Genomic DNA, 22,105 nt, shown 5'->3' with positions numbered 1-22,105 from the left:
CGATCTTTGAAATGCTATTATCAGCCTTTAAGTTATTCTTGACTTTTCCTACCGTAAGTTGAGGAAGACCACATTCTCTCAACTACCCATAATTAATTTTTCTTAATTGTGGTAAAATACACATAACGTAAAACTTACCATCTTAACTGTTTCCAAGTGTAGTTCTGTGGCACCAAGTACATTCACATTCTTGTGCAACCACCAACCGTCTCCAGGACTTTTTCATCTTCTCAAATGGAAACTCCATACCCAGTAAACACTAGCTCCCCATTCTTTCCTCCTCCTAGCCTTTGGCATTCACTATTCGTCTCTAAATTAGACTACTCTAAGGACATCGTATAAGTGGAATCATACATTATATGTCTTTTTGTGACAGTCTTACTTTAGTTAGCACAGTGTCCTCACTTCCATCCATGTTGTGGCATGTGTCAGAATTTCTTTCTTTCTTTCTTTCTTTCTTTCTTTCTTTCTTTCTTTCTTTCTTTCCTTTCTCTCTCTCTTTCTTTCTTTCTTTCTTTCCTTCCTTCTTTCCTTCCTTCTTCCCTCCCCTTCCCTTCCCTTCTTTTTTTTGACGGAGTCTCACTCTGTCGCCAGGCTGGAGTGCAGTGGTGCAATCTCGGCTCACTGCAACCTCCACCTCCCAGGTTCAAGCGATTCCCCTGCCTCAGCCTCCTGAGTAGCTGAGACTACAGGGGCACGCCACCACGCCTGGCTAATTTTTTTGTGTGTGTGTTTTAGTAGAGACGGGGTTCATCATGTTGGCCAGGATGGAATCGATCTCCTGACCTCGTGATCCGCCTGCCTGGGCCTCCCAAAGTGTTGGGATTACAGGCGTGAGCCACGGCGCCCAGCCCCTTCTTTCTTATGGCTGAATAATATTCCATTGTATGCATATTCCACATTTAAGTTATCCATTCATCTATCAATGGATACTCCACAATTAATTTTTGACATTGTTGAAATTTCTTCCCTGAAGGCCGCCTCTGAACTCTGTGCTCTATTTCTTTTGGGAATCATTCGTTCATTGAACAAATATGGCAGGCCTGCTGTACAACAGTCCCTGGTCTGGGGTCTGTGAACACTGGTCTGTCCCCAGGAACCAGGAGAATAAGGCCCCTCCATCCATACAGCAAGCATGTTAGAGGGGACAAACAGAAGGAAATGAGTTAACAGGTAACAGTGTGTCTGTCAGAAAGAGTGTTAGGAAGAAAACTAAATCAGGGCCAGAGAATGGGGAGGGAGTGATGAGGTATGAGGGACGGATTCTCTGTGGAGCTGGCCCTGAAGAAGAGACCCAAATGAAGGGGGAGGCAGGCACCAGGGGACCCTGACCATTCCTCTGTCTCGGAAGAGGCTGCATGTATGGGGGAGTTGCAGGCAGGTTTGTGGAGGATGCTGGAAGTGGCCACGCCAAGCATCCCAGGTGCCCCCAGGGCAGGCATCTCTCTCACCTCCTAACTGCTTCAATAATTCCTGCCCTGCTCCCCTGGGAAAGGCCACCTGGTGTCCACTCCTTTCTAGGGAATGTTTTCATTTTCTACTATATGATGAATTGTTAAGAAAGTCTTCCTTGAGGCCGGGCACAGTGGCTCACGCCTGTAATCCTAGCACTTTTGGAGGCCAAGATGGGTGGATCACCTGAGATCAGGAGTTCGAGACCAGCCTGGCCAACATGGTGAAACCCTGTCTCTACTAAAAAATACAAAAATTAGCCAGGCATGGTGGCGTGAAACCCTACTCTACTAAAAATACAAAAATTAGCCAGGTGTGGTGGCATGCACCTGTATTCCCAGCTATTCGGGAGGCGGAGGCAGGAGAATCGCTTGAACCCGAGAGGCAGAGGTTGCAGTGAGCTGAGATCGCACCACTGCACTCCACCGTGGGTGACAGAGCGAGACTCTATCCCCCCACCATCACCCCCCCAAAAAAAAAAGTTGCCTGGCGCGGTGGCTCACGCCTGTAATCCCAGCACTTTGGGAGGCCGAGGCAGGCAGATCACGTGAGGTCAGGAGTTCGAGACCAGCCTGGCCAACATGGTGAAACCCTGTCTCTACTAAAAGTACAAAAATTAGCCGGGCATGGTGGTGTGTACCTGTAGTCCCAGCTACTCGGGAGGCTGAGGCAGGAGAATTGCTGAACCCGGGAGGTGGAGGTTGCAGTGAGCCGAGATCACACCACTGCACTCCAGCCTGGACGACAGAGTGAGATTCTGTCTCAAAAAAAAAAAAAAAAGTCTTCCTCATTTACTAGAATAAAAAAACTGCCTTATTGAAGCTTTTCCTCTACAAGTGCATAAAATAAGAATCATCACTTTGTTATTTGACAGCTCTTCAAATATTAAAAGCAACTTCTCAATCCCCCAGTCTTCTGTTGGAGGAATAATGCTCCCAGTTCCTTAAGTGTTAACAGTAACACAATTTTCAGATCCTGTACCAACTGGCCACTCTCCTTTAGACAGGCACCAGTTAGACAATATCGCTTTTAAAATGTGACACCAGAAAGGGAACCTGATATCCTAAATGTAATCAGCCTAGCCCAGCGTCCAGGGGCTCCTGCGAGTCCACAGTCTCCTACAGTTGGTGTGGCCTTAACCTGAATTTGGTTTTTAACCAGTTTGGGTACCCCCAGTTACTATGACTCTTGACTTGCAAAACTAACTTTAAAAAGAAAAAGGTAGGCCGGGCGCAGTGGCTCACGCCTGTAATCCCAGCACTTTGGGAGGCCGAGGTGGGCGGATCACGAGGTCAGGAGATCGAGACCATCCTGGCTAACATGGTGAAACCCTGTCTCTACTAAAAATACAAAACATTAGCCAGGCATGGTGGCGGGCCCTGTAGCCACAGCTACCTGGGAGGCTGAGGCAGGAGAATGGCGTGAACCCAGGAGGTGGAGCTTGCAGTCAGCGAAGATCACGCCACTGCACTCCAGCCTGGGCGACAGAGCGAGACTCCATCTCAAAAAAAAAAAAAAAAGAGAAAGGTGCTGCTGCTCCTTTGCATACAAGCGGTATATTCTCATTGTGGAAAATACAGAGAAATGTTCAAAATACCTTAAAACTGTTCAGAGATAATTCCAGTCAATTGTTTGCTCTGTTTTTTTCCCAGATGGTTCTCTTTGCATATCTTGATGTTGTGGAGAATATGGCATATGTATGATTTTGCATTCTTATTTTTTCACATTATCAACATAAACATTTCCCTTACAAGCATTATCTGTGTTTCTCACAAAATAAATACTTCAAAGATTTATTTACAAGGATGTTTGCTGTGACATTAGGATATTGAAAAATTACACACAAGCTGTATTCATTCATTCAACAATTTTCTGTTGAGCTTCTACTGTGTGCCAGATACCACTCTCAGTGCTGGAAACATGGCAGTAAGTAAAACTGATGAAAATCTGCATTGTCGTGGAGCTTGTGTTAGCAAGCTAATAGTTACATCCTAGTAGGTAATAGTTAAGTAGAACGCACCCACAGGTTGGAAATCATGTTTTTGAAGAATATTTAATGGTATGAGCAGACAGTCACAATTTGCTAACTGAAAACATCATACAAAGTTGCACAATGCCAACATCTTTGTTTCCTGAAAAGCCTTTACGGAGCACACAGTCTTCCCACAGGCCTCTAATTCATTATACGGGGAGAAAGGAACCTTTATAATAACATTGGTCAGACACTACCTTAGCAAAATGACCAAGGTCAACAACACCAACAGTGGGACCATTTGACATCCTGGGTACCTGATGTGATACTCAGAGAAAAGATACAGACTCCTTCAAGTAGAATTTCCAGCCAGAAATGTTCAACCTGAATCTGATCATGAAAAAATAAGACAGATCTACACAAAGGCTCAGTCTCCAGCACTGTCTGTGACTCTCAGAGAACGTCAGGCCTGGGGAAATGGTCTCATTTCTCGGTAAGCAGGTCTGTGCAAGCCTGCCCCTAAAGTCGGAGGAAGCTAAGAGGTTAAAGAAAGAGGCTGACAAATTCAGTTTCTCCAAAAGAAACATTTAATAGGAACTCATGAGCTGAAGCCCTGTCTGTGTATCAGGGGCTTACATGGGATAGGGAAAGGGTGACCCTGAAGGGATGTATAGGACAATTGAGGTATGATAACATCAAGACTGTTTTGACCTAAGGGCAGGAATTACAATAAGGCCTCTTACACAAGGAACAATAGATAAACTGGAAATCTTAGAGGCCTTCCCAGAACAGAGGTTAATCAGAGGTCATCATGGCAGATCGGCATCAAAGATGGACTTGCTTTAGCCTCCACAGGTCTGGATTAGGGGAGACTAGAGACAAGAGAAGAAAATGCCATGCTCCTTAACTAGACTGGGGCAGGGACACTATTGGGACAATTGGGGAAATTTGATTATAGCCTAGAGGGTAATTGCATTGAATGGGCTGGGCATGATGGCTCATGCCTGTAATCCCAGCACTTTGGGAGGCCGAGGCGGGCAGATCACTTGAGGTCAGGAGTTCGAGACCAGTCTGGCCAACATGGTGAAACCCCATCTCTACTAAAAATACAGAATTAGCTGGGCGTGGTGGCAGGGTCCTGTAATCCCAGCTACTCAGGAGGCTGAGGCAGGAGAATCGTTTGAACCCGGGAGGTGGAGGTTGCAGTGAGCTGAGATTGCACCACTGCATTCCAGCCTGGGCAACAGAGTGAGATTCTGTCCTAAAAATAATAATAATAAATAAATAAATTGCATTGAATGAATGTTTAATAGCCCACTGGGAGTCATGTGTCAGCAATTAAGGCTCATAAGGTTAAAACAAAACAACAAAGTGTGTGTGTGTGTGTGTGTGTGTGTGTGTGTGTGTAGACAGAAATAAAGAAACATGGCACAGTGTTTGTAGGGGCACTAAAATCTAAAAAAGTATTTAGAAAGGCATTAAAAAAAAAAAAGGACAGGAAGGGGCCAGGTGCGGTGGCTCACGGCTGTAATCCCAGCACTTTGGGAGGCCAAGGTGGATGGATCGCCTGAGCTCAGGAGTTCAAGACCACCCTAGGCAACATGGTGAAACCCCGTCTCTACTAACATACAAAAAATTAGCCAGGTGTGGTGGCACGCACCTGTAGTCCCAGCTACTCAGGAGGCTGAGGCACAAGAATCACTTGAGCCTGGGAGGCAGAGGTTGCAGTGAGCTGAGATCACACCATTGCACTCCAGCTTGGGCCACCGAGTGAGACTCCGTCTCAAAAAAAAAAAAAAAAGACAGGAAGGAAATGTGCCAAACCATGAATAAGAATGCATGAATGCATTCTTTGTAGAATCAGGGACTGGCACAGTGGCTTACACGTATAATCCAGCACTTTGGGAGGCTGAGGCTGGAGGATCGGTCAAGCCTAGGAGTTTGAGACCAGCCTGGGCAACGTAGTGAGACTCCATCTCTACAAAAAATTTTTCAAAAATAGCCAGGCATGGTGGCTTGCATCTGTAGTCCCAGCTACTTGGGAGGCCGAGGTAGGAATATCACCTGAGTCTGAGAGGTTTAAGGCTGCAGTGAGCTGTGATTACACCACTCACTCCTGCCTGGGTAACAGAGCCTCAAATAAAACAAAACAAAACAAGAATACATTATTTGTAGAATCAGAAAAAAAAAAGCTATTTAAAAATCTTACAATTTATTTTCTTCTCTGTCACCCAGGCTGGAGTGCAGTGGCATGATCATGGCTCACTGCAACCTCCAACTCCTGCACTCAGGGGATCCTCCCACCTCAGCCTCTTGAGCATCTGGGACTATAGGCACATACCACCACGTCTGGCTACTTTTTATTTTTATTTATTTATTTATTTTTGAGACGGAGTCTTGCTTTGTCGACCATGCTGGAGTGCAGTGGTGCGATCTCAGCTCACTGTAACGTCTGCCTCCCAGGTTCAAGCAATTCTCCTGCCTTAGCCTCCCAAGTAGCTGGGACTACAGGCATGTGCCACCACACCTGGGTACTTTTTGTATTTTTAGTAGAGACGGGGTTTCACCATGTTGGTCAGGCTGGTCTCAAACTCCTGACCTTGTGATCCTCCCACCTCAGCCTCCCAAAGTGCTGGGATTACAGGTGTGAGCCACTGTGCCCGGCTATTTTTATTTTTAGTACAGACAGGGTTTTGTTATGTTCCCCAGGCTGGCCTCAAACTCCTGGCCTCAAGTGATCCTCCAGCCTTGGTCTCCCAAAGTTCTGGGATTACAGGTGTGAGCCGCCAAGCCCAGCCTAAAATAGTCTTCATGACTGTTTGTTTTATAGATGTATCATGATTTACATTGTAGGCAATAGGGAACCAAAATAAATAAATAAATAAAGCAGAATGGAATAGCCTTATCGCACTTTAGGGAGATCAATCTTAGAGGTGAGTATGGGACCCATTGGACTGAGGGGGACCAAAGACAGGAGCTATTGTTAGAGGCATAAAGCGAGCAGGCTGCTGAGTGGGGTGGAGTTCAGTGAAATGTATGGAGACCATTGTTTTGGAGTAAGATCCTGCACTAGGCCCCAGTGGACCAGAGCAAACCAAAATGGAATCACTCATGCTAGGTACCACATCGCCCAACTGAACTTTGAAACGGGCCAGTTTTCCAAAAAACAGGAAATTCACAGCAACCAATCAGAAGGGTCCCTGTTTTCCTGAGCCGGCTTGACAAGAAAGTCCTCTTTGTTTTAACCCTGTAAGGAAAGTAATTTAAAATGACCCACCCCCTTTTTGTTCTCTATTTTTCTTTCCTCAGCCCTTTTCAACAAAACCAATCTCCTCCGCTCCTCTCATTGGAGTGCGTTTTCTAAATCCTTAGATGATATGCTGGCCAACTCATGAACCACTAATAAAAACCAATTTGAGGATGGCACAGTGGCTCACACCTGTAATCCCAACACTTTGGGAGGCCGAGGCGGGTGGGTGGATCACCTGAGGTCAGAGACCAACCTGACCAACATGGTGAAACCCCGTCTCTACTAAAAATACAAAATTAGCTGGGCACAGTGGCTCATGCCTGTAATCCCAGCACTTTGGGAGGTCGAGGTGGGTGGATCACTTGAGGCCAGGAGTTTGAGACCAGCCTGGGCAACATAGTGAAACCCCGTCTCTACTAAAAATACAAAAATTAGCCAGGCATGGTGGTGCGTGCCTGTAATCCCAGCTCCTTGGGAGGCTGAGGCAGGAGAATCGCTTAAACCCAGGAGGTAGAGGTTGCAGTGAACCGAAATTGCACCACGCACTCCAGCCTAGGCAACAGAGCGAGACTCTGTCTCAATAAAACACTTTTTAAAATCTTTATTTATTTATTTATTTATTTATTTATTTATTTATTTATTTTTGAGACGGAGTTTCACTCTTGTTGCCCAGGCTGTAGTGCAATGGTGTGATCTCGGCTCACTGCAACCTCTGCTTCCCGGGTTCAAGCTATTCTCCTGCTTCGGCCTCCCAAGTAGCTGAGACTACAGGTGTTCACCACCATGCCCAGCGGATTTTGTATTTTTAGTAGAGACGGGGTTTCACCATGTTGGCCAGGCTGGTCTTGAACTCCTGACCTCAAGTGATCCTCCTGCCTCTGCCTCCCAAAGTGTTGGGATTACAGGCGTGAGCCACTGTGCCCAGCCGAATTTGATTTTTAAACTAAACTAAATGTGCTGAAATTTGTTTAACAGTGGGTAGAGAGGCTGCAGATGTCTAAAATCACATTGTTGAAATGGTGACTTGAGCAGATGTGGCGGGGGAGAGAGCTGAAAACAGGCTGGGTGGCTATGGCCATTCTCCCTGCCATCTTACTGGGCAGCTGAGCAGAGGTGGGGGTGGGACAGCTGCCAACAGCTGTCTCTTCATAAGAGTCTACTTTGCCATGGGTGAGGTCTGGAGAGAAAGGGGCAGGGCTGGTCTGACAGTGCTGGTGCCTTCCCAGCAGGGTGACTTGCCCTGGAGCAGGCAGCAGAGCCGGGTGGGAGTGGATGGTCACTTTACACCAGGGTGCCTGCCATAGTTTTGTCTTCTTTACTGCAAGGATCATGGAGATCTTCTCAGAGTTATGTATGAAAAAGCCTTCCTCTCTGCTTCTTCATATCTGCTCAGATAGCTCTACCTTCTGAGAGCTTCTGCTGTCCTGGAACTTTGGCTCTAAGTGGCCCACCCGGTCCTGTTGGTCAAATTCCCTATTCAATTTTCTTACCTTCGCTCTCCTGCTAGCTGGCTCAACCTTTTCATACTTCTTAAAGTTCTAGGAGAATCTGCCCGGTGCGGTGGCTCATGCCTGTAATCCCAGCACTTTGGGAGGCCGAGGCGGGCGGATCATGAGGTCAAGAGATCGAGACCATCCTGGGCAACATGGTGAAACCCCGTCTCTACTAAAAATACAAAAATTAGCTGGGTGTGGTAGCACGTGCCTGTAGTCCCAGCTACTCGGGAGGCTGAGGCAGGAGAATAGCTTGAACCCGGGAGGCAGAGGTTGCAGTGAGCCGAGATCTCACCATCGCACTCCGCCTCAGAAAAAAAAAAAGAATCGGTGGCTGGCCACCCTGCGAGTTGAGATCTCGACACAGAGTAGTGAAGAGGGGAGGGTCAAAGAGCGGGCACTGGACATGGGGAGCAGGGGTTAATGTGCATGCCCACGGTGCAGGGTCAGAGGTCAGGAGGGGTGAAGTGAAGGTGGCACCAGACACCTATGTCCTGTCACCTGGGCCTAGGACCAGTGTGGTGGCTGCAGCTGATCTCCTGCTGCTTCTCCCGTCCACCTTCACTTCCTAGCACAGATTCCAAAAGCCTGGTCACCCTGCCGCTCCTCACTCAGAGTACAGCAGCAGCCAGGGCTCACTGAGCCAGTCATAGCCTCACAGGGTCCACCAGGACCCCGGGCTCCTCTGAAGCTCTGTCCCAGGCTGTACCCTAGGTCCTACGCAGGCTTTACCACAGGTCCTACTCCAAGCCCACCTCAGGCCCCACCCATGCCCCACTCCAGGACTTGTCCAGCCTGCACCCAGGCTCCACCACAGGCCTGGCCCCAGACTGTCACAAAAACAATACCTATTTATTGTAAAACATAAAAATATGTAAGACCGGCTCGGCGCGGTGGCTCACGCCTATAATCCCAGCAGTTTGGAAGGCCGAGGCGGGTGGATCACCTGAGGTGAGGAGTTCGAGACCAGCCTGGCTAACATGGTAAAATCCTGTTTCTACTCAAAATACAAAAAATTAGCCAGGGGTGGTGGCGCGTGCTTGTAATCCCAGCTACTCGGGAAGCTGAGGTGGGAGAATCGCTTGAACCTGGGAGGTGGAGGTTGCAGTGAGTCAAGATTGCGCCATTGCACTCCAGCTTGGGCAACAAGAGGGAAACTCCGTCTCAAAAAAAAAAAAAAAAAAAAAAAAAAGTAAGACCAGGTGCTGTGGCTCATGCCTGTAATCTCAGTACTTTGGGAGGCTGACATGGGTAGCCCAGGAGTTCGAGACCAGCCTGGATACCATAGCAAGACCCCATTTCTACAAAAAAATTAAAAATTAGCCACCACAGGCATGGTGGCATATGCCTGTGGCCCCAGCTACTCAGGAGGCTGAGGTGGGAGGATTGCTTGAGCCCAGGAGGTCATCTGCCATGAGCTGTGATTGCATCACTGCCTGGGCAACAGAGTGAGACCTTGTCTCTGAAAAACAAAACAGAAAGCTAAAGTAAAGAGAATTAAATAAAATTTACTGTAATCCTGTCTCCCAGAAAAAAAAAAACTACTACTTTTAGCGTATTGATGTTCTTCTGCTATTCCACATACAACATTCCAGCAGCACTGGCCCCCACTGCATGTGTTTATACAGATGGAACTGGGTCAGCTCCACCATCCATGCTCCCTCCACCCAGGGTCACCACGCCACTTCCCCCTGGCTCCTTGGCATTCTTGGGGAGCTTGCAGGAGCTACATCAGCCTGACAGGCACAGTCTTGTGAAGGACCCTCCACACTTCTCTCTCTGCCTCTGTCTCCCAGTTGCCCATGACCAGCAGGCCCCTGGCTGTGGCCCCAGCTGACATGTCCATGCCATGGGCACCATATTCAGATACTTCCGAGTTTCTTTTTTTTGAGATGGAGTCTTGCTCTGTCACCCAGGCTGGAGTGCAATGGCACAGTCTAGGCTCACTGCTACCTCTGCCTCCTGGGTTCAAGCGATTCTTCTGCCTCAGACTCCTGAGTAGCTGGGACTACAGGCATGTGCCACACACCCGGCTAATTTTTGTATTTTTAGTAGAGACGAAGTTTCACCATTTTGGCCAGGCTGGTCTCAAACCCCTGACCTCATGATCCACCCGCCTCGGCCTCCCAAAGTGCTGGGATTACAGGCATGAGCCACCGCGCCGAGTTTCTGAACCCCAAGTCAGGCAAGGTGCCGACATCTGCAAAGTGAGGACAAAAATCAGCTATGCCCCAAACTCTGCTGGCTGGTCACAGGAGGGATAAATTTCAACCCATTCTCCTCTAGCTGCCTTTGGGCCCTTCTAGCCGCTGGGCTCCTATGCCCAAGACCTGACAGGGTCTGCACCCCAGAACTTCCTGTGGGCCAGCAGCTCTCATGGGCTAAGTTGGTGCAGGTGGGCAGGGAGGAGAGAAGGGGTAGTGTCCAGAGGAACTCAGTCCCCCACAACTCCCAACACACATGCATAATGCTCTAACAGAGGTGAGATTCTAAGGTGGAAGTTGTGTTGCCTGTTTTCCAGTTAGCATTTGTATTATTTTCTAAGTGTCTCCTTCCAAGCCCTGTTAACCCCCACCCATGTCCATACCCAGACACCAGCAGCCCATGGTTGTGTAGGCCCTGCTGCCTAGTTTCAGTTGATCTTCCTGACCCCTGACCTCAGATGGACCCTAGGTGCTGGCAGGTTGGACTGATTCCTTCCCAGTCAATGCACCCTGCGCTTCCAGACACAGACCACAATTTCTCACCTCCTTGGCTCACTCTTCACAGACGACCTTCCTCCTGAGTCCACTGAGCCCATAAAAGTGATGGGAGAGAGCCTCAACAGGTGCCTCTTCCCAGGACCCCACCCAGCTGCCTCTGGACTGGGCTCAGCCTGCTCTGGTGCTCCTCCCTACTCCAGGCCCCTGATCTTCTGTACCCACTACTGAGCCACATCCAAGCACTTCGCAACACCCAATCAATGCTGCCCTTGCTCCAGCCCTTGCCAGCCCTCTCTTTTTGCTCTTTCTCTTTTTTTTTTTTTAATTTTTATTTTTTGAGACAGGGTCTCTTTGTAGCCCAGGCTGGAGTGCAGTGGTGTGAACGCAGAGCCCTCTGCAGCCTCAATCTCCCTGGTTGAAGTGATCCTACCACCTCAGCCTCTGAAATAGCTGGGACTACAGATACGTGCCACCATGCCCAGCTAATTTTTGTACTTTTTGTGGAGATGGGGTCTCCCTGTGTGCCTAGGCTGGTCTCAAACTCCTGGGCTCAAGTGATCCACCCATCTCTGCCTCCCAGAGCACTGGGATTACAAGGGTGAGCCACTACCATCAGCCTCTTTTTGCTCTTAATAACAGTCTATTCGAGCTATAAATTCACATTTATACAATTCACCTGGGGTGGGTGTGGTGGCTCACGCCTGTAATTCCAGCACTTTGGGAGGCTGAGGTGGGCAAATCACGAGGTCAAGAGTTCGAGACCAGCCTGGCCAACATGATGAAACCCCGTCTCTACTAAGAATACAAAAATTAGCTAGGTGTGGTGGCACACGCCTGTAATCCCAGCTACTTGGGAGGCTGAGGCAGGAGAACTGCTTGAACCCTGAAGGTGGAGGTTGTAGTGAGCCGAGATTGCGCCACTGCCCTCCAGCCTGGGCAACAGAGCAAGACGCCATCTCAAAAAAAAAAAAAAATTCACCTATATAAAGTATACAATTCAACAGTGTTATGTATATGAACATAATCAATTTTAGAGCATTTTTATCACTGTCAGAAGAGATCCTATATCCATTAGATGTCATTCCGCATTACCTCCTCCCCAGCCCCTGGCAACCAATAATCTACTTTTTGTTCCTATGGTTTGCCTATTCTGGACATTTAATATATACGGAATAATAAAATATGTGATCTTTTGTATCTGGCTTCTTTCACTGAGCATAATGCTTTCATGGTTTATTCATGTTGTAGCATGTATCAGCACTTTATTCCTTTTCATTGCTGAATAATATTCCATCATAGGGATACACCACATTCTGTTTATCTGTTCATGAGTTGATGGACATTTTGGTTATTTCAGCTTTTTGGCTACTATGAATAATGCAGCTATGAACATTCATGTATAAGTCTCTGTGTGGACATGCTTTCACTTCTCTGGGTACATACTTGTAAGTGGAATTAATGGGTTTAATGGTAACTCTATGTTTAAACTTGGAGAAACTACCAGATGATCTTCCTGTTCTCCAAAGCAGCTGTACTATTTGACATTCCCACCAGCAGTGTATGAGGGTTCCAGCTTCTCTACATCCTGTGTCTTTTTATTAGTCATTCTAGTAGGTGTGACGTGGCATCTCATTGTGGTTTTCGTTGGCATTTCCCTAATGATTCATGATGTTGAGAATCTTTTCACATACTTACTGCCATTTGTATATCTTCCTTGGAGAAATGACTATTCAGATCCTTTACCCGTTCTTAAATTGGATTTCTTTTCAAGAGGATGAGGGTCTCCCTGTGTTGCCCAGGCTGGTGTCTAACACCTGGGCTCAAGTGATCCTCTTGCCTCAGCCTCCTGAGTAGCTGGGACTAGAGGCACACGCCACTGCTCCCAACTTGGAATTCTTTGTATATTCTGGACACAAGTCCCTTATCAGATATAATTTGTAAACATTTTCTCCTATTCTGTGGATTGTCCTTTCACTTATTTTTTTTTCCTTTTTTTTTTTTTTTTTGAGATGGAGTCTTGCTCTGTTGCCCAGGCTGGAGTGCAGTGGCATGAATTACAGGCGCCCGCCACCACGCCTGGCTAATTTTTGTATTTTTAGTAGAGACGGGGTTTCACCATGTTGGTCAGGCTGGTCTCGAACTCCTGACCTCGTGATCTGCCCACCTCAGCCTCCCAATGTGCTAGGATTACAGGCGTGAGCCACTGCGTCCAGCCTATGTCTGGACTTTCAATTCTATTCCATTGATTTATGTATCTCTCCTTATGCCGGTACCTCACTGATCTGATTACTGTAGCTTTGTAGTAAGTTAAAATTGGGGCCCAGGTTCCATGGCTCATACATATAATCCCAGTGCTGTAGGAGACTGAGGATTGAGGATCCCTTGAGGCCAAGAGTTCAAGACCAGCATGGGCAACTCATCAAGATCCTGTCTATACAAAAGAATTTTTTTTTTTTTTGAGATGGAGTTTTGCTCTTGTTGCCCAGGCTGGATTGCAGTGGTATGATCTTGGCTCACTGCAACCACTGCCTCCTGGGTTCAAGCAATTCTCCCTCCTCAGCCTCCTGAGTAGCTGAATTATAGGCTCCCGCCCCCATGCCTGGCTAATTTTTGTATTTTTAGTAGAGACAGGCTTTCGCCACGTTGGCCAGGCTGGCCTGGAACTCCTGAACTCAGGTGATCTGCCATCCTCGGCCTCCCAAAGTGCTGGGATTACAGGTGTGAGCCACTACACCTAGCCAAAAAATATATTTTGTTAATTAGCTGGGCTTGGTGGCATGCACCTGTAGCCCTAGCTATTCAGGAGGCTGAAATGGGAGGATTGCTTTAGCTCAGGAGTTTGAGGGTGCAGTGAGCTATAATTGCACCACTGCACTCCAGCTTGGGAGAGAGATCCTGTCTGTAAAAACAAAACAAACAAGGAAAGGAGAAAGGAAGGGGGAAAGGAAAGGTGAGGGGAGGGAAGAGTAAGGGAGGGGAAGGGAGGAGAGGGGAGTGGAGGGGGAAGGGGAAGGAAGAGGAAAGGATGGGAAGGGAGGGGAGGGGAAGGGAGGGGAGGGAGAGGGAGTGGAAGGAAGGGGAAGGGAGGGGAGGGAAGGGAAGGGAATTGGGAAGTGTGAGTTTTCCAACTTTGCTGTCTTTTTTTCAAGGTTGTTTTGGCTATTCTGGGTCACTTGAATTTTTTTATAACTTTATGTCTAATTGACAAATAATAATTGTATATCATTATAGGGTAAAAGGTATTATTATATGTATACACTGTGGAATGATTAAATCAAGTTAACTAGGTCAGGAGCAGTGACTCATGCCTGTAATCCCAGAACTTTGGGAGGCCAAAGCGGGTGAATCACTTGAGGCCAGGAGTTTGAGACCAGCCTGGCTAAAATGGCAAAACTCCGTCACTACTAAAAATACAAAAATTAGCCGGGCACTATGGCTCACACCTGTAATCCTAGCACTTTGAGAGGCAGAGGCGGGTGGATCACCTGAGGTCAGGAGTTCAAGGCCAGTCTGGCCAACATGGCGAAACCCCATCTGTACTAAAAATACAAAAATTGGCCAGACGTGGTGGCTCACACCTGTAATCCCAGCACTTTGGGAGGCCAAGGTGGGTGGATCACCTGAGGTCAGGAGTTTGAGACCAACCTGACCAATATGGTGAAATCCTGTCTCTACTAAAAATGCAAAAATTAGCTGGGCATGGTGGTGGGCAGTCCCAGCTACTCCAGAGACTGAGACAGGAGAATTGCTTGAACCCGGGAGGTGGAGGTTGCAGCAAGCCAAGATCGTGCCACTGCACTCCAGACTAGGCAACAGGGTGAGATTCCTTCTCAAAAAAAAAAAAAAAAAATTAGCTGGACGTGGTGGCACATGGCTGTAATCTTAGCTACTCAGGAGGCTGAGGCAGGAGAATGGCTTGAACCCGGGAGGCAGAGGTTGCAGTGAGCTGAGATCGTGCCACTGCACTCCAGCCTGGGTGAAAGAGCGAGACTGTGTCTCAAAAAAAAAAAAAAAAACCCACAAAAATTAGTCAGCTGTGGTGGCGCATGCCTTAATCCCAGCTACTCAGGTGGCTGAGACATAAGAATCGCTTGAACCTGGGAAGTGGAGGCCGCAGTGAGCTTCTATATGATTGCACCCCTGTACTCCAGCCTGGGTGACAGAGCAAGTCTCTGTCTCAAAAAAAAAAAAGAAAAGAAAAAAAGTTAACTTATATATCTACCTATCTGTCACCTCATATACTTATTTCTTTGTGGAAAGAACATCTAAGATGGACTCTTTAAGCAATTTTGGAATATACAATCCATTATTATTAACTATAGTCACCATGCTATGCAGTAGATCACTAGAACTTATTTCTCCTAACTGAAACTTTGCATGTACCCTTAGACCAACCCTTTCCCCATCCACCACCTCCTGCCTCCTCCTGCCTCCTCCTGCATCTGGTAACCACCATTCAACTCTCTACTTCTATAATTCTGTTTTTTTGTGATGGAGTCTCACTCTGTTGCCCAGGCTGGAGTGCAGTGGCAAAATCTCGACTCACTGCAACCTCCACCTCCTGGGTTCAAGCGATTCTTCTGCCTCAGCCTCCTCAGTAGCTGGGATTACAGGATTGTGTCACCATGCCCGGCTAATTTTTGTATTTTTAGTAGAGACGGGGTTTCACTATGTTGGCCAGGCTGGTCTTGAACTCCTGACCTTAAGTGATCCACCTGCCTCGGCCTCCTAAAGTGCTGGGTTTACAGGTGTGAGCCACCACACCCAGCCAGTATCCTGCACACTTGAAACTTTACTAAATTTGTTTAGCAGTTCTAACAGGTTTTTTCAAAGTCTTTAGGGTATTCATGTTATCGGCAAACAAAGACACATTAAATTCTTCCTTTCTATTTTACTTCTTTTTTCTTGCCTAATTGCTCTGGTAGGACTTGCAGTACTATATTGAATAGAAGTGGTGAGAGTGGGCTGGCGCAGTGGCTGACACTTGTAATCCCAGAACTTTGGGAGGCCGAGGCAGGCGGATCACCTGAGGTCAGGGGTTGAGACCAGCCTGACCAACATGGAGAAACCCAGTCTCTACTAAAAATAAAAAATACAAAATTAGCCAGGGTGTGGTGGCGCATGCCTGTAATCCCAGCTACTCGGGAGGCTGAGGCAGGAGAACCGCTTGAACCTGGGAGGTGGACGTCGTGGTGAGCCGAGACCGAGATCACACCATTGCACTCCAGCCTGTGCAACAAGAGGGAAAATATGTCTCAAAAAAAAAAAAAAAAGAAGTTGTGAGAGTGGGCATCCTTGTCTTTTTCCTGATCTTAGAGGAAAAGCTTTTAACTTTTCACTGTTGAATATGATTTTAGCTGCTGTGGGCTTGTGTTATATGGCCTTTATTGTGTTGAGGAACATTACCTCTATATCTAATTTGTTAGGAGTTTTTATCATAAAAGGAGGTTGAGTTTTGTCAAATTTTGAACTTTCTTTCTTTCTTTCTCTCTCTCTCTCTTTTTTGATGGGGTCTCGCTCTGTTTCCTAGGCTGGAGTGCAGTGGCACGATCTCCAACCTCCGCCTCCTGGGTTCAAGCAATTCTTCTGCCTGAGCCTCCTGAGTACCTGGGACTACAGGCATGTGTCACCACACCCGGCTAATTTTTGTATTTTCAGTAGAGACGGGGTTTCACCATATTGGCCAGTCTGGTCTCAAACTCCTGACCTCGTGATCCACCTGCCTCAGCCTCCCAAAGTGCTGGGATTACAGGCGTGAGCCACCGTGCTCAGCTGAAACCTTGAATTTTCATACGAATTTTAGGGTCAGCTTGTCAATTTCCACAAAAAAAAAATCTGAGATTTTGGTAGGGATTGTATTGACTCTGTAGATCAATTTGGGGAGTAATGTCATCTTATTTATATTAAGTCTTCCAATCCATGGACATGGGATATCTTGCCATTTATTTAGATGTTTTTTTATTTCTTTAACAATAGTTTATAGTTTTCAGAGTGTAAGTTTTGCACTTTTTGGATAAACTTATTCCTAAGCATTTTATTCATTTTGATGCTATTAAAAATGGAATGTTGGCTGGGCTCGGTGGCTCACATCTGTAATCCCAGCACTTTGGGAGTCTCACGTGGGCAGATCACAAGGTTAAGAGATAGAGATCATCCTGGCCAATATGGTAAAACCCTGTCTCTACTAAAAATACAAAAATTAGCTGGGTGTGTTGGCACATGCCTGTAGTCCCAGCTACTTGGGAGGCTGAGGCAGGAGAATTGCTTGAACCCAGGAGGAGGAGGTTGCAGTGAGCTGAGATTGCACCACTGCACTCCAGCCTGAAGGCAGAGCAAGACTCCGTTTCAAAAATAAATAAATAAATAAAAATAAAAATGGAATGTTTTCTTTTCTTTTTCTTTCTTTTCTTTCTTTCTTTTTTTTTTTTTTTTTTGAGACAGTGTCTCCCTTTGTCACCCAGTGTGGAGTACAGTGGTGTGATCTCAGCCCCCTGTAGCCTTGACGTCCCAGATTCAAGTGATCCTCCCACCTCAGCCTCCCAAGTAGCTGGGACTACAGGCACGGACCACCACACCTGGCATTTTTTTTGTATTTTTGGTAGAGATGAGGTTTCACCATGTTGCCCAGACTGGTCTTGAACTCCTGATCTCAGGTAATCCACCCACCTCAGCCTCTCAAAGTGCTGGTGATGCAGGATTTTTTTGGTGCTGTTTCACCAGCCGGAGACCTCTGTGGTTGGCAACCCCCTTCACAGGGCTTTGCTTGGCTCCAGGCTTGCATCTGGAGGTACCCCACCCACGCAGCCCAGAGGCTGCCCTTGGCTTGCACTCAGCCAACAGGTGGGCCAGGGGTGCTGTGACCTGCTCCTGCCTTGGGCACCAGTGCCTGGACAAGGGGAACGCAGTGGCACCTGAGAAAATCAAGACGCCAGCGACCCTGAAGCCCACCACAGGAGGTGTTACAGTGTGCTACAGCTTTGGCTTGGGGAGCCCCGAGGTCTAGGCCCCCAGAAGGGACATAGCTCTTCTCTTCCCATCGCCCACAGCATTTCAAACAGGGGGATTGGGGGCGTGTTTAAGCCAGTCTGTGTTACAGCTCATTGAGTCCCGCTGCCCCACTCTGGCCCGTGGCTCCAGGGCTGGCCTGGCCTCAACTGTGGCTTCCTGTCACGTGGGTCATCTGCTTGGAGCCAGTGGAGGGCAGAGGGCAACAGTGTTAGAGCAGCTCCTTTGGCACCCGCCATTCAGTAGGTCCTGAGTTCTTGTCCTGCATCCAAGAAGAATGATGTTACGTGGACAACCAGAGGGTGAGAAGGGCAGAGAAGAGTTTTATTGAGCCATATGGAACAGCTCTCAGCTGAGAGGGGACTTGGGGAGGGTGATCCCCCACCCACAAGTGTGGCTGAGTCTGGGGCTTATGGGCTCATAATGGGGGATTGCATGCTGATTGGTTTGTGAGTATGCAAAAAAGGCTAAAAAAAAAGGCACCACTCAAAGATGGACATGACTGTAAAAAAAAGAAAAACAATTAGGAAAGGGTAGGTATATGTAAAATAGGTGAAGGGTGGGGATGAATCAGGAAAGTGCACCAAATGGGAACAGAGGTTCTCAATCTGGTCCGTGGATTTATCCAAGACTCATAGCATGGTATTCAGGCTTTAAACTGCCTTCGGCTTGAAGGTCAAGTTTCACCAGGGACCTGACCCTGTCTGCCCAGTGATTTGTCTGCCTCCTGCTGCTATCACTGGGATAGCTATCCTGCTGCTATCACTAGGCGTGTGCCACCTCATCCAGCCAAAATGAAATATTTTCTTTAAAAAAATTTTTTTTTATGTCTGGGTGTGGTGGCTTACACCTGTAATCCCAGCACTTTGGGAGGCTGAGGCAGGCAGATCACGAGGTCAGGAGTTCGAGACCAGCCTGACCAACATGGTGAACCCCATCTCTACTAAAAATACAAAATTAGCTGGGCATGGTGGCGCACACCTGTAATCTCAGCTACTCAGGAGGCTAAGGCAGGAGAATCGCTTGAACCTGGGAAGCAGAGGTTGCAGTGAGCCAAGATCGCGCCATTGCACTCCAGCCTGGGTGACAGAAAGAGAATCCGTCTCAAAAAAATAAATAAATAAATAAAATTTTTTAGAGTAGAAATGGTGTCTTACTATGTCAACTAGGCTAGAGTAAAACTGCTGGGCCTAAGTAATCCTCCAGCCTCAGCCTCCCAAAGTGTTGGGGTTATAGGCGTGAGCCACCATGCCCTGCCAAAAATGGAATCTTTTTTTTTTTTTTTTTTGAGATGGAGTCTCACTCTGTCGCCCAGGCTGGAGTGCAGTGTCACGATGTCGGTTCACTGCAACCTCTGCCTCCTAGGTTCAAGCGATTCTCCTGCCTCAGACTCCCAAGTAACTGGGATCACAGGCATCCGCCACCACGCCCAGCTAATTGTGTATATTTAGTAGAGATGGGGTTTCACCATATTAGCCAGGCTGATCTCGAACTCCTGACCTCAGGTGATCTGCCTGCCTTGGTCTCCTAAACTGCTGGGATTACAGGCATGAGCCACTGTGCCCAGCCCAAATGGAATCTTTTTAAAATTTTATTTTCAGTTTGTTCACTGCTACTGTGTAGAAATACAAATGATTTTTGTACATTGATTTTTGTATCCTGCAATCTAGCTGATCTCATTTACTAATTCTAACAGTTTTTTTAGTAGGTTCTTTAGTATTGTTTTTTATTTTTCTTTTTCTCGCTCTGTCACCCAGGAGAACAGTGGTGCAATCTTGGCTCACTGCAACCTCTGCCTCCTGGGTTCAAGTGATTCTCCTGCCTCAGTCTCCGGAGAAGCTGGGATTACAGGTGCCCACCACCACACCTGGCTAATTTTTGTATTTTTAGTAGGGATGGGGTTTCACCATGTTGACCAGACTGGTCTTGAACTCCTGACCTCAGATGCTCAACTTGCCTCTGCTTCCCAAAGTTCTGGGGATTGCAGGCGTGAGCCATTGCACCCAACCAGTATTCTCTATATAAAATATAAAGTAATCTGCAAATAGAGATAATTTCACTTTTTCTTTTGCAATCTGAATGCCTTTTATTTCATCTTTTCTTTTCTTTCTGTTTTTTTTTGGAGGGGGGAGGGGCTGGATCTTGCTCTGTCATCCTACAGACTGCACTCTGTAGGCTGGAGTGCAGTGGCCAGATCAAGACTTACTGCAGCCTCAACCTCCTGGGCTCAAGCAATCCTCCTGAGTAGCTGGGACTACAGGCACACACCACCATGCCTGGCTAATTTTTGTATTTTTTGTAGAGATGAGGTTTCGCCATCTTGCCCAGGCTGGTCTCAAATTCCTGGCTGGTCTTGAATTCCTGAGCTCAAGTGATTCACCCACCACAGCCTCCCAAAGTGCTGAGATTACAGGCGTGAGCCACTGTTCCTCGCCATATTTCATTTTCTTGCCTAATTGCTCTGGGTAGAACCTCCAGTGCAATGTTGAACAGAAGTGATGAAAAGTGATTGGTCTCCCTGCCTCTGCCCTTACCTCAAAGAAAGCAGCCAAAGGGGGCCCTGTAAAGCATAAGCCAGCACATGACACTCCTCTCAGAACCCTGTAATGGTTTCCCACTGCACTCATGCTCAAATAAGACCCAGTCCCTTTAAGGTTTGACACACTCTGGCCCGGCTGTCTTCCTGCCTTCATCTCCTATTACTTCCTCTCCTTGCTCACTATGCTCCAGCCACACTGGCTGACTTTCTGACTCCCAGACCTCTCCAAGTTCCTTATCTTTCCATTTCCCACACCCTTTCCTGTGCTGCTCCTTTCCCAGACTTCCATATGGCTCATTGTCTCATTTGTACCCATGTAATTTTAATTTATGGAGGTGACTAAGTGACAAAGTGAGGAGACCAATGCCATTGAAAGGGAAGTTTAATGTAACTCACGGTTTTTCTAGAAACAAGAGGCATGCCATGCCATGTCACATGGAGAAGCACCAAGTTTGGTCAGGAGGCATAAGCAGGATCTGGGGGAAGCCTACGCCAGATTCTTTTTTTTTTTTTTTTAGACAGAGTCTTGTTCTGTCACCCAGTCTGGAGTGCAATGGCACGATCTCGGCTCACTGCAACCTCTGGCTCCCAGGTTCAAGCAATTCTCCTGCCTCAGCCTCCTGAGTAGCTGGGATTACAGGCGCCCGCCACCATGCCCAGATAATTTTTATATTTTTAGTAGAGATGGGGTTTCACCATGTTGGTCAGGCTGGTCTCTGACCTCAGGTGATCCATCCATCCGCCTCGGCCTCCCAAAGTGCTGGGATTAACAGGTGTGAGCCACCACGCCTGGCCTCAGATTCTTTATTGGGGTTTCTGTGGGACAGGTGTGAAAGAAAAATAAATCTCGGGACCCCAAAATCATTAAGCCAAGGGAAAAGTCAAGCTGGCAACTATGTCAGGCAAACCTGCCCCCCAGTTTAGTCCTAGATAAGACAGCTACAAAAATAAGGAGCTACATACCTCCCTCACAATTTGCCCACAAGGAAATTTCTGTCTGACAAAGGTCAGACAGAACTCAAGTCACCTCTCTAAGGATCACCTAAGACAAATGCATATCTGATTGCTTCCTCTGCCCTATTGTTTATATAAAAAAGCATATTCACTGAGCCAGACTAAATTGTGTATTCAGTGGAAGGCTGATCAAGGACTCAAAATAATGCAACCTTTTGTTTCTTATCCACTTAGGACCCGGAAGCCCTCACCTCCAGTTGTCCCGCCTTACCGGATCCAACCAATGTACAGCTGACACATATTGATTGATGTCTCATGTCTCCCTGAAATGTATAAAAGCAAGCTGTACCACGACCACCTTGGGCACATGTCCTCAGTACCTCCTGAGGCTGCGTCTTGGGCGCGTCCTTAACCATGGCAAAATAAACTTTCTAAATTGACTGAGACCTTTCTCAGATATTTTGGGTTCACACAGGCAAGGCAGAGAAAGGTGAACAGTTTGGGATTTGCTCACTTGAATAATTTTGGTGGGCTTTGGGATATTGGGGCTGTCCCAAGTTGTCTGGAACTTGGCCCTGTGTTGATTTCGGGCAGGGGAAAAATTCACTTGGTATGTGAGTGTTTGATAAAGGAGATGGTTGGGTGTATAGGCTCTAGACTGATTAGTTTGCATATAAACGGTATATTCTCAGGGAGCACTTTTGTAAGAATTGACTAGCCCTAGGAAGGGCAACCTTT

General features: G+C 47.2%; 1 long non-coding RNA gene across 1 annotated transcript, besides 2 other annotated features; it reads left to right on the top strand.

Moving 5' to 3' along the window:
• Positions 9,459-9,538: an enhancer, noted in NCBI's record as "active region_25953". NCBI's record gives its function as "activates an Ori minimal core promoter by ATAC-STARR-seq in GM12878 lymphoblastoid cells {active_cell/tissue: GM12878}" and the evidence as "EXISTENCE:reporter gene assay evidence [ECO:0000049][PMID:35858748]".
• Positions 9,589-9,668: an enhancer, noted in NCBI's record as "active region_25952". NCBI's record gives its function as "activates an Ori minimal core promoter by ATAC-STARR-seq in GM12878 lymphoblastoid cells {active_cell/tissue: GM12878}" and the evidence as "EXISTENCE:reporter gene assay evidence [ECO:0000049][PMID:35858748]".
• Positions 18,088-21,807, top strand: LOC124901622 (uncharacterized). Its single transcript, XR_007060299.1, has 2 exons — positions 18,088-18,176; positions 21,602-21,807. It is a non-coding gene; the product is annotated as an uncharacterized LOC124901622 (long non-coding RNA).
• The last annotated feature ends 298 nt before the right edge of the window (positions 21,808-22,105 follow it).

Source organism: Homo sapiens, chromosome 7 (genome assembly GCF_000001405.40).
Source record: "Homo sapiens chromosome 7, GRCh38.p14 Primary Assembly".
Classification (NCBI taxonomy): domain Eukaryota; kingdom Metazoa; phylum Chordata; class Mammalia; order Primates; family Hominidae; genus Homo; species Homo sapiens.
The sequence above is the reverse complement of the archived record's forward strand: the minus strand, read 5'-3'. Positions and strand labels throughout refer to the sequence as shown.